The 13081-nt window shown below is 37.9% G+C and overlaps 1 protein-coding gene across 8 annotated transcripts in view; it reads left to right on the top strand.

Moving 5' to 3' along the window:
* PPM1B (protein phosphatase, Mg2+/Mn2+ dependent 1B) overlaps positions 1 to 13081 on the top strand; it is a 78054-nt gene that overhangs the window by 47793 nt on the left and 17180 nt on the right. For 7 of the 8 annotated variants that reach the window (XM_011532936.4, NM_177968.4, NM_001033557.3 and 4 more), the window contains 2 exons: positions 1300 to 1411; positions 1813 to 1870. In XM_011532936.4, coding sequence (XP_011531238.1) covers positions 1300 to 1411; positions 1813 to 1870 — 170 coding nt within the window. Of the gene's footprint in view, positions 1 to 1299; positions 1412 to 1812; positions 1871 to 13081 lie in introns of those variants that run through there. The other variant, XM_047444837.1, reaches the window with a different exon arrangement.

Here is a 13081-nt window from a genome sequence, read left to right on the forward strand (position 1 = left end):
CTCTAATCCCAGCATTTTGAGAGGCTGAGGTGGGTGGATCACGAGGTCAGGAATTCAAGACCAGCCTGGCCAACATGGTGAAACCCCATCTCTACTAAAATACAAAAATTAGCTGGGTGTGGTGGCACATGCCTGTAATCCCAGCTACTTGGGAGGCTGAGGCAGGAGAATCGCTTGAACCAGGGAGTCAGAGGTTGCAGTGAGCTGAGATAGTGCCACTGCACTCCAGTGTCTCAAAAAAAAAAAAAGGGACATTCACCATACAGAGGGGTTGGATTAGAGTGAAAAGTGTTCCCAAACCAACGAAAAGAGTATGTGAAGATCTAGAAGTAGAAGTCTTTGAATGGATCCTTTGGAGATGAGGGAGGCGGGCAGAGTTGAAAGAGTAGTGGAAGTCAACGTAAGGGTCTTGTGAGGCATGGTAAACAGTTGTTTTGAAAGTAAGGCCTGGGCTGGGTGTGGTGGCTCATGCCTGTAATCCCAGCACTTTGGGAGGCCGAGGTGGGTGGATCACCTGAGGTTGGGAGTTTGAGATCAGCCTGACCAACATGGAGAAACCCCATCTCTACTAAAAATACAAAATTAGCCAGGCATGGTAGCACATGCCTGTAATCCCAGCTACTCGGGAGGCTGAGGCAGGAGAATTGCTTGAACCCAGGAGGCAGAGGTTGCAGTGAGCCAAGATCACGCCATTGCACTCCAGCCTGGGCAACAAGAGTGAAACTCCGTCTCAAAAAAAAAAAAAAAGCTGTAGAATGTAACTATTTCAGGTAAGTATCAACTTGTAAAAATGATTTTTAATTTCTCCCCTTTTTCTTATAATTCTTATCTAGCTAAACTTTTATTATCCTTTAGTAATGGCATTCATAACTTTTATATTGTTTTTACTTAATATTAGATCAGAAGTATTTTTCCATATAGCTGTTACTGTATTCATCAAGACACCTATTTCGTAATTTTTAGTGATTATAAACCATTTCACTCAATGGCTACACCAAAGTTTTTAACTGTCCTCTTGTTGGTGAACATTTAGTTTGTTCCAGTTTTTGCTTTTTATGAATAATGCTGGAATGAACATACATATGCAAATAACTGTTTTTTCTTTTTTCCCCCTGCATAGCAATGTTTCAGTCAATAAGTAGCTTTTTGTATTACTTCTTAAAAATTTTTTGTGTGTTGATGGTAATTTTTTTTAATATATTTTAAAATAGGTACTACCAAATAGTATCTCTTGTTTCACTTCTTGGTGAGTACTGGCTTATCACATTAATTTAGGAACTTTTTTTAAAAAACCTACAGAGATTATGGAGAAGTCTGGCGAGGAAGGAATGCCTGATCTTGCCCATGTCATGCGCATCTTGTCTGCAGAAAATATCCCAAATTTGCCTCCTGGGGGAGGTCTTGCTGGCAAGTAAGTAGAACAAAAAGCTAATTTTGAGTTCGTTCATAATTAGTAATTAAATAATTTGGGGTAAAAAAACTTAAATCAGAAGTACATCAATTATCTAGAGGTGAAATGGGTTAGTGTTTCTTATACTAGAGAAGAACTCTTAAAACTTCAACCAAAAACGATTTTTTAAAAGGAATTATCTATCATACTCTTTGAGTATGAAGGTCCTTCTTTCCTTGCTAAGGAGTACAAATGGATTGTGCAAAATCAGATTCTGAGAGTAAAGTGTAGAAGGTATGTTCTTGACAAGTATAGAGTGTACCAGTTACTTTTTTAGTGTGGTCAGGATGAAATATTGAGATATTCACAAGCTTAAAATTCTGTGTAATTTAATAAAACTAAAGCATGTTTTTTTTTTTTAGGCGTAATGTTATTGAAGCTGTTTATAGTAGACTGAATCCACATAGAGAAAGTGATGGGGTAAGTTTTATTTTATTTCATAAGCATTTGAAGTAATTTCACAATATAAATACTAAATATGAATACATTCACATTAACGAAGTCTATAATAAATTATAGTCTGTAGTAAATTACTACTGCTTTTCATTTTAAAGTGTCAGTTAAAGTTTAAGAAAATGTATTGAAATGAAGGTAGAGATAAAATTTTGTTTTGTAGATAGTTTTGTTGTCACTTTCTGGGCATCAAATGACCTTTTTTGTTTGGGCTGTCTTTATTTCTTCTCTATATGTCTGCTTTTCCTTCTTCTCCTTTAAACCTTAATTTTGAGGCAAGAATGCTCTTTTAAATATCTCAATTTCTCCTCCAGCAGGCTGCTGCCATCACCAGAAGTTAGTGATAGTGAGTGAGTTGTTATTTTAATAACTAGACCTTTCAGTACCCCTGTATGCCCACTTGGAATACCCGAGGATAGTTTTTTTCTAATATTATTGTTGTATTATGGGTACATGAGTGTTGAGCTGAGATAACCATTTCTGTTGTACCTTGCTGTACTTCATCAGAGCAAGACTCTATGCCCTTACCTTTTATTTTGCTTTTCTTCGAAATGTCAGTGAGCTGCCAGCTGCCCCTCTATATTGTTTTGTTTTGTTTTAGTACTATTACCAGGAGACAGAAGTGTCCTTTTTTTTTTTTTAAATCCAAGTTAGTTCAAATAAGTATTTTTCTCTTGGGTTTTCAAGTTTTTATGTCTAAAAATAAATTATTTAATTTTTAATATATATGCTTCAAAGCTTTAAGGGAACCAAACAGAAATGAAACTGATTGGGAGGAAGAGTCCACCTCCAGTCTCCAGCTCCTCTTGGCAGATTGAGAGAGAGAGTATCCATTGGCTAGAAATCATATGTCATCTCAATTGCATTATTTGCTAGGATTCATTGTTGCACAGCAATATAATATGATTTCTTTTCCTTAACAGTAAAAGTTATCCTGGCAAAAAGGAAAATTTAATAATTAATATAATTTTAGTGAGTCATATAAAAGTGATGCTATATATTGCTAATTATAATTTATATCTTGGTCTAGAGCAGTGATTCTGAGTCTTTTTTTGTGGCAGGTTCCTCAGAGTATTAAGAATTGTACCCAAGGCCGGGCACGGTGGCTCATGCCTGTAATCCCAGCAGTTTGGGAGGCCGAGGCGGGCGGATCACCTGAGGTTGGGAGTTCGAGACCAGCCTGACCAACATGGAGAAACCCCGTCTCTACTAAACATACGATATTAACTGGGCATGGTGGCGCATGTCTGTAATCCCAGCTACTCGGGAGGCTGAGGCAGGAGAATCGCTTGAACCCGGGAGGCGGAGGTTGTGGTGAGCCGAGATCATGCCATTGCACTCCACCCTGGGCAACAAGAGCGAAACTCCGTCTCAAAAAAAAAAAAAAATTGACCCAAAGCTGAGAAAATTAATTTAAAAATCCAAATATTTTATGTGATCCATCAGAGAACCCTCAAAGAAATGAGTATAGGATGTTGACATATGACTAAAAGGATGGTGGTAATTTGGAAGGTTGAGAGAAGAGAATCTTAACTCTTCAGCTAGATTATAGATTCTTCAGGGCATCCACTACCTTGATTAGAGGAAATAAGCCCTCAGAAGACAGTTATTGATTCATTATTAGCCATAGAAGTACTCCCATTTCCTCAGGTGTTTCAAAGTGTCAACCCTCATGTGTAATCTTTAAAAATACATATATATATATATATATACCTTGCTGGATTTTGGGGTCCTTCATAGTCTATTTTTACTCCAAACAAGGTTTTCTGTTTAACATATACCAAGGATAACTTTTAAATTTTTTAAAAAGAAAAAATGATTACACATAGTAGCTACATAAACAGGGAATAAATAGGCAACGGAACTATGAAACTGGGGGGAAATGCTCAATATATAAACCTTACCTTAAATAGATTATTATTTGGCTATAGAAATGGGATATATGTACTTAATTACCTTTATACATAAATGTTCTATCAACATCAGCAGATCAAACACTGACAGTGTGTTGTATAGTGGATTCACAGAGGGAGAAGACTAGAAAACGTAAGACGTGACCCCACCTGTGTGTCTAGTGCAGCTTACACTGTAGTTATAAACACACCTTAAATGATCAAAATATTTCGTATAGCTTGGTAACAAATAAATGACAAAATCCAGAATGTGACCATTGCCATGTGACTTGGACAGTGATTGCTGTAAAAGTTCAGCTGCTTAAGCAGGGGGAAAGTCAGCTTCTTAGAGAAAAGATAGTATTTGAAGAATGATTTGAATGGTAGAAATGACATGAGGATGATGACCTTTCAAGTGGACTAGAGAGGCAAGGACAAAGTATAAGATATCTTCAAAAGAAAGGACATCTTTTTTGGCTAAAGCAGAGAACTGTTGTGGTGAAAAATAAGAATTTAGGTTGCAGAGGTACTTGCTAAGAGACCAGCCTTTTGAACATCATTTTAGGGTAATGGACCACCTTATGTTTAGAGCATAAGAATGATAGATTCAAAAAAATATCTGTGGTATTTTAATCTGTTAGAAACATTTACCATATTAGATTAAAGAGATGCAGGCAGTCAGGTAGTTGTGAAATAATTACAGAGACCAAATGGTAACTGTAGACTTATTATCATTACATAGATATGTGGATTAAAGGAACTTTCCTTGTTTACTGTGAAAACTGACTTTACAGCCTAGAATTTTAAATGGGGAAATATTATATGCCTTTCACAATAATCACTAACTTAGAAAAATGTTGAACTATAATTGCAAGTAGCAGAAATGTGCTGAAAAATACCGCAGAAGGAGAGAGAATGAAGAAAATACAGACGTGATTAAATTCTGAGCTCTTAACTTGACCCACTGTAGCAAAAAGCTAGCCGCAAAGGTGCTCCATAAATGCTTCTTAACAGTGTGGATGATGTCGCCGGGAGCTGGATGTTAACTTGCGGGGTGGGAAAGATGAAAGTATGCTAGAATTACAGAAGAGGAGAAAGTTGGAAGGTATTATAAAAATTAAGTTTTTTTAAATAACAAAAATTATTTTTGTTTAGATATTTAAACAAAGAATTCTAGCCAGAGTTAAATCAGAGGGTTTCTTTAGACTCCTGAATGTCTGCTTTATGTCGGAGAGAATTGTTCTGTTGTAAATGATTATAAGTAGTACCACTAGAAATAGGGATTCATTCATTTTTCTTATAATTAAGACATCTTTTAAATAAATATTTTTCAGAAAGTAGAGTTGAGTATAAGTCATAAATTAAGTAATTTTAATATATATTCAGAAAGGTTACTATTTAGGGGAAACTTCTTAAGTTCTTTACTAAATTTGTTTTTTAGTATGTGTTCCATACTAAACTAACTTTTTAGAATGTGTTCCATCTTCTTACCACAAACAATATTGATATTTTCCCAACTTTTAAAATACAAATTTGTAACAAAGGGTTTAGCCAGGGATTCTTAGTCTAGGGATTCACGAATCCCCAGAAATCTTTTGGAAAATTTCCAGAAAAAGCAAAACTACATTTTGCTGTAAGTTGTCTTTATATTAGACAGGGCTCTGGGATCATACTCCTTCCCTTTTTCTAAAATGCTAGTTTGTGTTTTATAATTAGAATATAAATTCTGTGAGATCTGGGACTTGATCTGATTCATTTGTGTCTATAGTCCAAGCACAATCCTGGCATACGGTGAAAGCTCAGTAAATATTTTTTGAATAGGAAATATTTGTATTTATTCATTTCTAGTAATTTTCTTAAGGCTGTCCTTAAGTCATATATTTAAAAATTAATTTGAGGTTACTAATTGGTATGAAAGTCTGTATTTATAGAGTTTTATACTTTCATGCAAAAAGTTCTTCCCTTGAAAAAGACTCATAATGCTTTTGAATTAGTATGCCACTGATCAAGTAGTTGCACAAGTTGGTAATTTTCCAAGGGTAAAGTTGAGCAGGGGGGTGACCTGTATTTACCCAGCTCCTACTTGTGCCAGGCCCCTTATTTATACACACACAGAGTCATAGGTAATCTTCTCAGCACCCTTCTTTTACACATGAGACTTACAGAGATGAGGTAGTTTGCACAGGTCACAAAGCTAAATAAATCATGCAGCCAGAATTTGAATTAGTCTGACTCCTATTCTCTTTACATTATTCCATGTGGCCTCTTTAAGGTAGAGATTATGTATGTCTGTACCCCACCTGTGTCTACCATGCAGGAAAAATCATTTCCCATTCTTTTGTAAATATCATGTTTATCAGTCTTAAGATACTCTATTTTATTGATTGAGACAGGGTCTCATTCTTTGTCCCAGGCTGGAGTGCTATGGCACCATCATGGCTCTCTGTAGCCTCAACCTCCCAGGCTCAAGCGATCCTCCCAGCTCAGCCTCCTGAGTAGCTGGGATTACAGGCACACAGCACCACACTCGGCTAATTTTTTGTATTTTTTGTAGGGATAGGGTCTCGCTTCATTGCCAGGGCTAGTCTTGAACTCCTGGGCTCAAGTTATCTTCCTACCTCAGCCTCCCAAAGTTCTGGGATTACAGACGTGAGCCACTGCATCCAACCACAAGATAATCTGTTTTTAATGGTAAATATTTTATAAAGTTGTTGAAAGGAATGAGTTAAGCCCAATTCCTTGTCAGTTATTTTTCACTTAAATACACATATTTATCTTAATCCAAAAACGGTTTAAGGCATTTTGATCTTAGAGAAGGGAAGGAAAAACAGGATAGATTAGTCTCTTTTTGAGCCCAAAAGAATCTCTGTATTGTTTTCAGATTATTAAATTTTGCATGCATTTTTCTGTTTTACTTTAAACGGATAAATGCAATACCCATAGCTGCTTTTACATTTTTATATCACAGTTTTTAGAACTATGTGAATATTAGTTTTTTCATATTTACTTTTTATTCACTTGTCAAAGCATTGCTATGGAGAAGACCTATACTGTTTGAAAATGCAGGCCGGGCGCGGTGGCTCATGCCTGTAATGCCAGCACTTTGGGAGGGCGAGGCAGGAGGATCACGAGGTCAGGAGATCAAGACCATCCTGGCTAACATGGTGAAACCCCGTCTCTACTAAAAATACAAAAAAAACAAAATTAGCCAGGCGTGGTGGTGGGCGCCTGTAGTCTCAGCTACTCGGGAGGTTGGGGCAGGAGAATGGTGTGAACCTGGGAGGTGGAGCTTGCGGTGAGCCAAGATTGCACCACTGCACTCCAGCCTGGGCAACAGAGTGGGACTCTGTCTAAAAAAAAAAAAAAAAAAAAAAAAAAAAAAGAGAGAGAGAGAGAAAATGCACTAACATTAGTCACTATGTTTTTAAGGTATGATTGACATAACACTTACCTTTGCTATGTGGTCTTGACCATTCAAATGACACTGTCTAAAATTATTCATTAAATTTGACATGATTCTTCAAGTAACATGTAATTTATTAGAGTCTTCATTAGTCATCAATTGTATCACATTTTGTCATACTGGAGAATTTTTAGTTTAAAAATTTTTTTGTCTGACAAGCAGCACGTAGGACTTCATAAGAAACATTTTTACTAGTGTTTACTTTTTCTCTACTGTTATAAGTAGTCATTTTAAGAATTTTGGTTATGGGCCGGGCACAGTGGCTCACGCCTGTAATCCCAACACTTTGGGAGGCCGAGGTGGGCGGATCACAAGGTCAGGAGATTGAGACCATCCTGGCTAACATGGTGATACCCTGCCTCTACTAAAAATACAAAAAATTAGCCGGGCGTGGTGGCGGGCGCCTGTAGTCCCAGCTACTCGGGAGGCTGAGGCAGGAGAATGGCGTGAACCCGGGAGGCAGAGCTTTCAGTGAGCTGAAATCGTGCCACTGCACTCCAGCCTGGGTGACAGAGCAAGACTCCGTCTCCAAAAAAAAAAAAAAAAAAAAGAATTTTGGTTATGAGAGCTGTGTTTCAAAAGATAAATATTGCTGCAAATAAATATTAGCTGGTTAAATTTTATTTTTTAAAATGTGCTTAGTTCCCTTCCCCCTCCTATTACTACTCTCTGCTTGATTTATCTAATTTCTATGTCTTATTTGGTGTAAGTTAGTATTTTCATCATGAGAGATTCGACTTTTAAGCTATGTTAGTCTAGCTGATAGTAAAAGCTTAAAAACTAGGGTGGATGGGAGATGTCCTGAATTCTCATCTCAGTAATTGCCTTCAATTTACTTTACAGAATAATTGTAAACATCCCAGCTGATATGATAGTTTAATCAACATAACTAGTGTTCTATAGTTTTATTAATTTTACTATATTAAGGAAATATAAACTTCAATATGAAATAACCTGTGGTGTTCTATAATAATTTCACCAATATTTCTTTAGTAAGAGTCTTACCTGTATGAGGTACTTCCTATGCAAAAAAGGTCACTCGCCATAATGTATTCAACAGAGCGCAAAGATAGACATTGATGTTAATTATACCTGTGCACAAATCAGAGCCCTGCCATTTACTAAGATTGTCACCGTGACAAATAACTTAAATCTCTCTGAGCTTTAGTTTCATCACTTATAAAAATGATAACTGGAATCCTTACTTTGTAGGGTACCTGTGAGGATTCAGTAAGATTATGTATATAAAGTTCTTAGCACAAATATTATTTTTCCTTCCTTAGATGGTAGGAGGACATAGAATGGAATATGAAATTGTCTTTACTCTAAAAGAGTTTGCAGTCTAAGTGGAGAGTCTTGTGAACCGTTGCAAGGTAGAGTTAATTGCTATAATAGATGTGTAAAAATAGGTGTGCTATATCAACTGTACGAGTTCAGATAAAGAAAGTGCAGGAACCTAGATAATAGGTTTCTCTTCTAATATTAATGAAAGCCCATGAGAGAGTTACATAACAGTGTTTGGAAAAATCAAATATAATGGCTGCGGAAGAGGTTTCAGTCCTCTATTGTCTATCCAGAGTGATGAGAAAATGTAATTTGCCATAAGATAAAATGACTTTTAAGTGTGGTCATTAGCTAAAGTTCTTCTCAATTTAGTGATTCTGTAATGTCAGCCATTGCAAATCCGTGTCTACTTGATTTATTGGTTTGGTTTTCTTTTGCTTTTTATTTTTTTATTTTTCATTTTTTGAGACGGAGTCTCACCCTGTCACCGAGGCTGTAATGCAGTGGTGCAATCTCGGCTCACTGTAACCTCTGCCTTCCAGGTTCAAGCGATTCTCCTGCCTCACCCTCCCAAGTAGCTGGGACTACAGGCATGCACCACCACGCCTGGCTAATTTTTCTATTTTTAGTTGAGATGGGTTTCACCATGTTGATCAGGCTAGTCTCAAACTCCTGAACTAAAGTGATCCACCTACCTCGGCCTCCAAAAGTACTGGGATTACAGGCATGAGCCACCGTGCCTGGCTATGGTTTGGTTTTAGTATGTCTTTTTTTTTTTTTTTTTGAGAGAGAGTCTTGCTCTGTCGCCCAGGCTGGAGTGCAGTGGTGCCATCTCAGCTCACTGCAAGCTCCGTCTCCCAGGTTCACGCCATTCTCCTGCCTCAGCCTCCTAAGTAGCTGGGACGACAGGTGCCCGCCACCACGCCCAGCTAACTTTTTGTATTTTTAGTAGAGACAGGGTTTCACTGTGTTAGCCAGGATGGTGTCCATCTCTTGACCTCATGATCTGCCTGCCTCAGCCTCCCAAAGTGCTGGGATTACAGACCTGAGCCACTGCGCCCGACCTAGTATATCTTTTAAAAAGCAACTTCTCTTCCCCAACTGTCACTACTATAGCAATTCACAGAAATACAGGTGATTAATAATGTAAGTGTCAGTTGGAAAGCGAGAGGTACTTTATCTGTTGAACTTGCCAAAATTGACCCAAATACGACAAATGGAACAACCTTTCATCCAACCTTATTAATAAGTCCACCTCCAAATTGAGTCATGCCATTTAGTCTATATCAGTGATTCTCAACCCTGGCTGTATATCAGAATTACCTGTCAGGCTTTAAAAGAACAACCCAAATCCACTGAATCTGTGTATTTTGAAATGGAACTTTGGCATGTGTGCAATTTTAAAAGCTCCACAGGTAATTCCAATGTGGAGCAAGGGTTGATAATCACTTTATGTGTAAATCTTTGAAGCAGATTTTGTTTTAATGTCCTGTAATTTTTTTTTAATAAAATGGTAGGTTTTTATCTTTTTTTTTTTTTTTTTTTTTTTTGGTTTGGGGGTTTTCGGGGGAAGAGGGTTGTAGGCCCTGCATTAAAAGGTCTTTGTGATATACCGTAAAGTAGAAAATTTCCTCTTAAAGACTGACAAGGTTTATCATTAGAGTATACTTATCACATGTTGTTCCATCTCAACCCTTCCTGAATAGATTAAAATGGGAAACTTTTTATTTATTTATTTATTTATTTATTTATTTATTTATTTATGAATGAATGAATGAATGAATGACAGGGTCTTCCTCCATTGCCCAGGCTGGAGTGTAGAGGCATGAACATGGCTTACTGTAATCTCAACCTCCTGGGCTCAAGTGATCCTCCCACCTTAGCTTCCCAAGTAGCTGGGACCAGAGGTGTGTGCTGCCACACCTAATTTTTTAAATTTTTGTTTTGTAGAGACGGGGTCTCCCCGTGTTGCTCAGGCTGGTCTCAAACTCCTGGGCTCAAGTGATCCTTTGACCTTGGCCTCCCAAAGTGCTGGGATTACAGGCATGAGCCACCAGCCCTGGATGAGAAACTTTATTTAGGGAAACATGTTTTAAGTCCACATAATAAATTTTGCAATTAAATGACAGCTAATATGCTTGTTGTGGAAAATTGGAAAATTCAAAGAAAATAAAGTATCTAGAACTCCCTACCCATTATCATTATATTGCTGTATTTCCTTTCTTTCCAGGTATTTTTACATATGCTAACATGAACAGATACACAGACGTATATGTATCCAAAAAGCATGGGCCATACACAGTATCATCTTTTTTTTTTTTTTTTGGAGATGGAGTCTTGCTCTGTCGCCTAGGCTGGAGTGCAGTGGGTGTGATCTTGGCTCACTGCAACCTCCACCTCCTGAGTTCAAGCAATTCTCCTGCCTCAGCCTCCCGAGTAGCTGAGATTACTGATGCACACACACCATACCTGGCTAATTTTTGTATTTTTAGTAGAGATGGGGTTTCACCATGTTGGTCAGGCTGATCTCGAACTGCTGACCTCAGGTGATCCACCCATCTCAGCCTCCCAAAGTGCTGCGATTACAGGCATGAGCTACTGTGCCCGGCCCAGTATCATCCATTTTTTGCCATGAGGATACTTCCCCGCCCCATCCCCACCACCACCCCGTCTGAGGCAGGAAAACAAGCACTTTTTTTTTCTTTTTCTTTTCTTTTTTTTTTTTTTTTTGAGATAGAGTCTCACTTTGTCACCCAGGCTGGAGTGCAGTGGTGCGATCTCGGGTCACTGCAACCTCCGCCCTCCGAGTTCAAGCGATTCTCCTGCCTCAGCCTCCCGGAGTAGCTGGGATTGCAGGCACTTGCCACTGCGTGCTGCTAATTTTTTGTATTTTTAGTAGAGATAGGGTTTCACCATCTTGGCCAGGCTGGTCTTGAATTCCTGACCTCGTGATCCACCCGCCTCAGCCTAACAAGCCCTTTTTTTTTTTTTTTTTTTTAAGAGGGTCTCACTCTGTCGTTCAGACTGGTGTTCATTGGTATGGTCATGGGTCACTGAAGCCTCAACCTCCTCGACTTAGCTCAACCTCTCGCCTCAGTTCCCCAAGTAGTTGGGACTATGGGCGTGTTCCTTTTAAACATTTTTTGTAGAGATAGGGTCTCATTGTGTTTCCCAGGCTGGCCTAGAACTCCTGACCTCAAGGAATCCTCCTACCCGTCTCCCAAAGTGGTGAAATTGCATACACGAGTCACTGCTCCTGGCCAATGAGGGCAACTTTTTAAAAAATAACATTCATCTGCTCTCATTTTTCTAATAAAACATTGCCATTTATTATATGGCTTTATTAGTGTTATCTTTGTTGCAAAAGTATATGTAATAGTCTCTAAAGATGGTTAAGAGTTTGTGTCACATCAACTGTATCAATAACCTATTTTGTATTTTATTTTCCCAATATTTTAAGATGAAAACTTCCAAATGTATTTAAAAAGGGGATATGATATGTTGGAACAGCTGTATATTGTCTCTCTAGATTCAACAACTGTTAACATTTTGCCATAGTTGCTTTATTTTTCTTTTTATATCTACTGTTTTTTTTCTTTCTTTGACTGAACCCTTTGAGAGAAAATTGCAGACATCATATTTTACCTGTAAACATTTAAGCATGCAGCTCTTAAGAATGAAGATATTTTTCAGCCAGGCACGGTAGCTCACACCTGTAATCCCAGCACTTTGGGAGGCCGATGCAGGCAGATCACCTGAGGTTGGGAGTTCGAGACCAGCCTGACCAACATGGAGAAACCCTGTCTCTACTAAAAATACAAAATTAGCCGGGCATGGTGTCACATGCCTGTAATCCCAGCTACTCGGGAGGCTGAGGCAGGAGAATCGCTTAAATCCTCGAGGTGGAGGTTGTGGTGAGCCGAGAACATGCCATTGCCCTCCAGCCTGGGCAACAAGAGTGAAACTCCATCCCAAAAAAAAAAAAAGAACGAAGACATTTTTCTGTATAACCATAATACCATTATTATACCTAAGAAAATTCATTTTTTTAAATTTATTTTTAATTTTTGTGGGTACACTGTAGGTGTATAAAAAAATAAATTGTATAATATTGAATATCAAGTTTAAATTTCCCTAGTTGTCACTAGAGTGACTATTGTAATTGTTATTTTGAATCCCAGTCTAATCAAGTTTATCAATCAAGCACATTAAACAAGTCTTTAATCAGTCAAGCCCCTCACCTGTTTTTTTCCCCTTGAAACTGACTTTGAAGAATCTGAGCCAGTTTTTTACAATACGTCCTGCATTCTGAATTCATATGATTGTTTTCTCATGTGTGCTCTAACTTGATCCTCTATTCCCTTTTTTCCTGTAAACTGGGAATTAGCATTATTAGATTCATTCTAAACATTTTTTGGCACGAATACAGGACATGACTGTACTTTATAATGCATCATATCAAGAGGCACATACTGTAAAGATATCTTTATTTTAGTCTGTCGGCTTAACTGTGATCAGCTTGGATGATTAGAGCTTGTT

The sequence above is a fragment of the Homo sapiens genome, chromosome 2 (assembly GCF_000001405.40).
Source record: "Homo sapiens chromosome 2, GRCh38.p14 Primary Assembly".
In the NCBI taxonomy this organism is placed as follows: domain Eukaryota; kingdom Metazoa; phylum Chordata; class Mammalia; order Primates; family Hominidae; genus Homo; species Homo sapiens.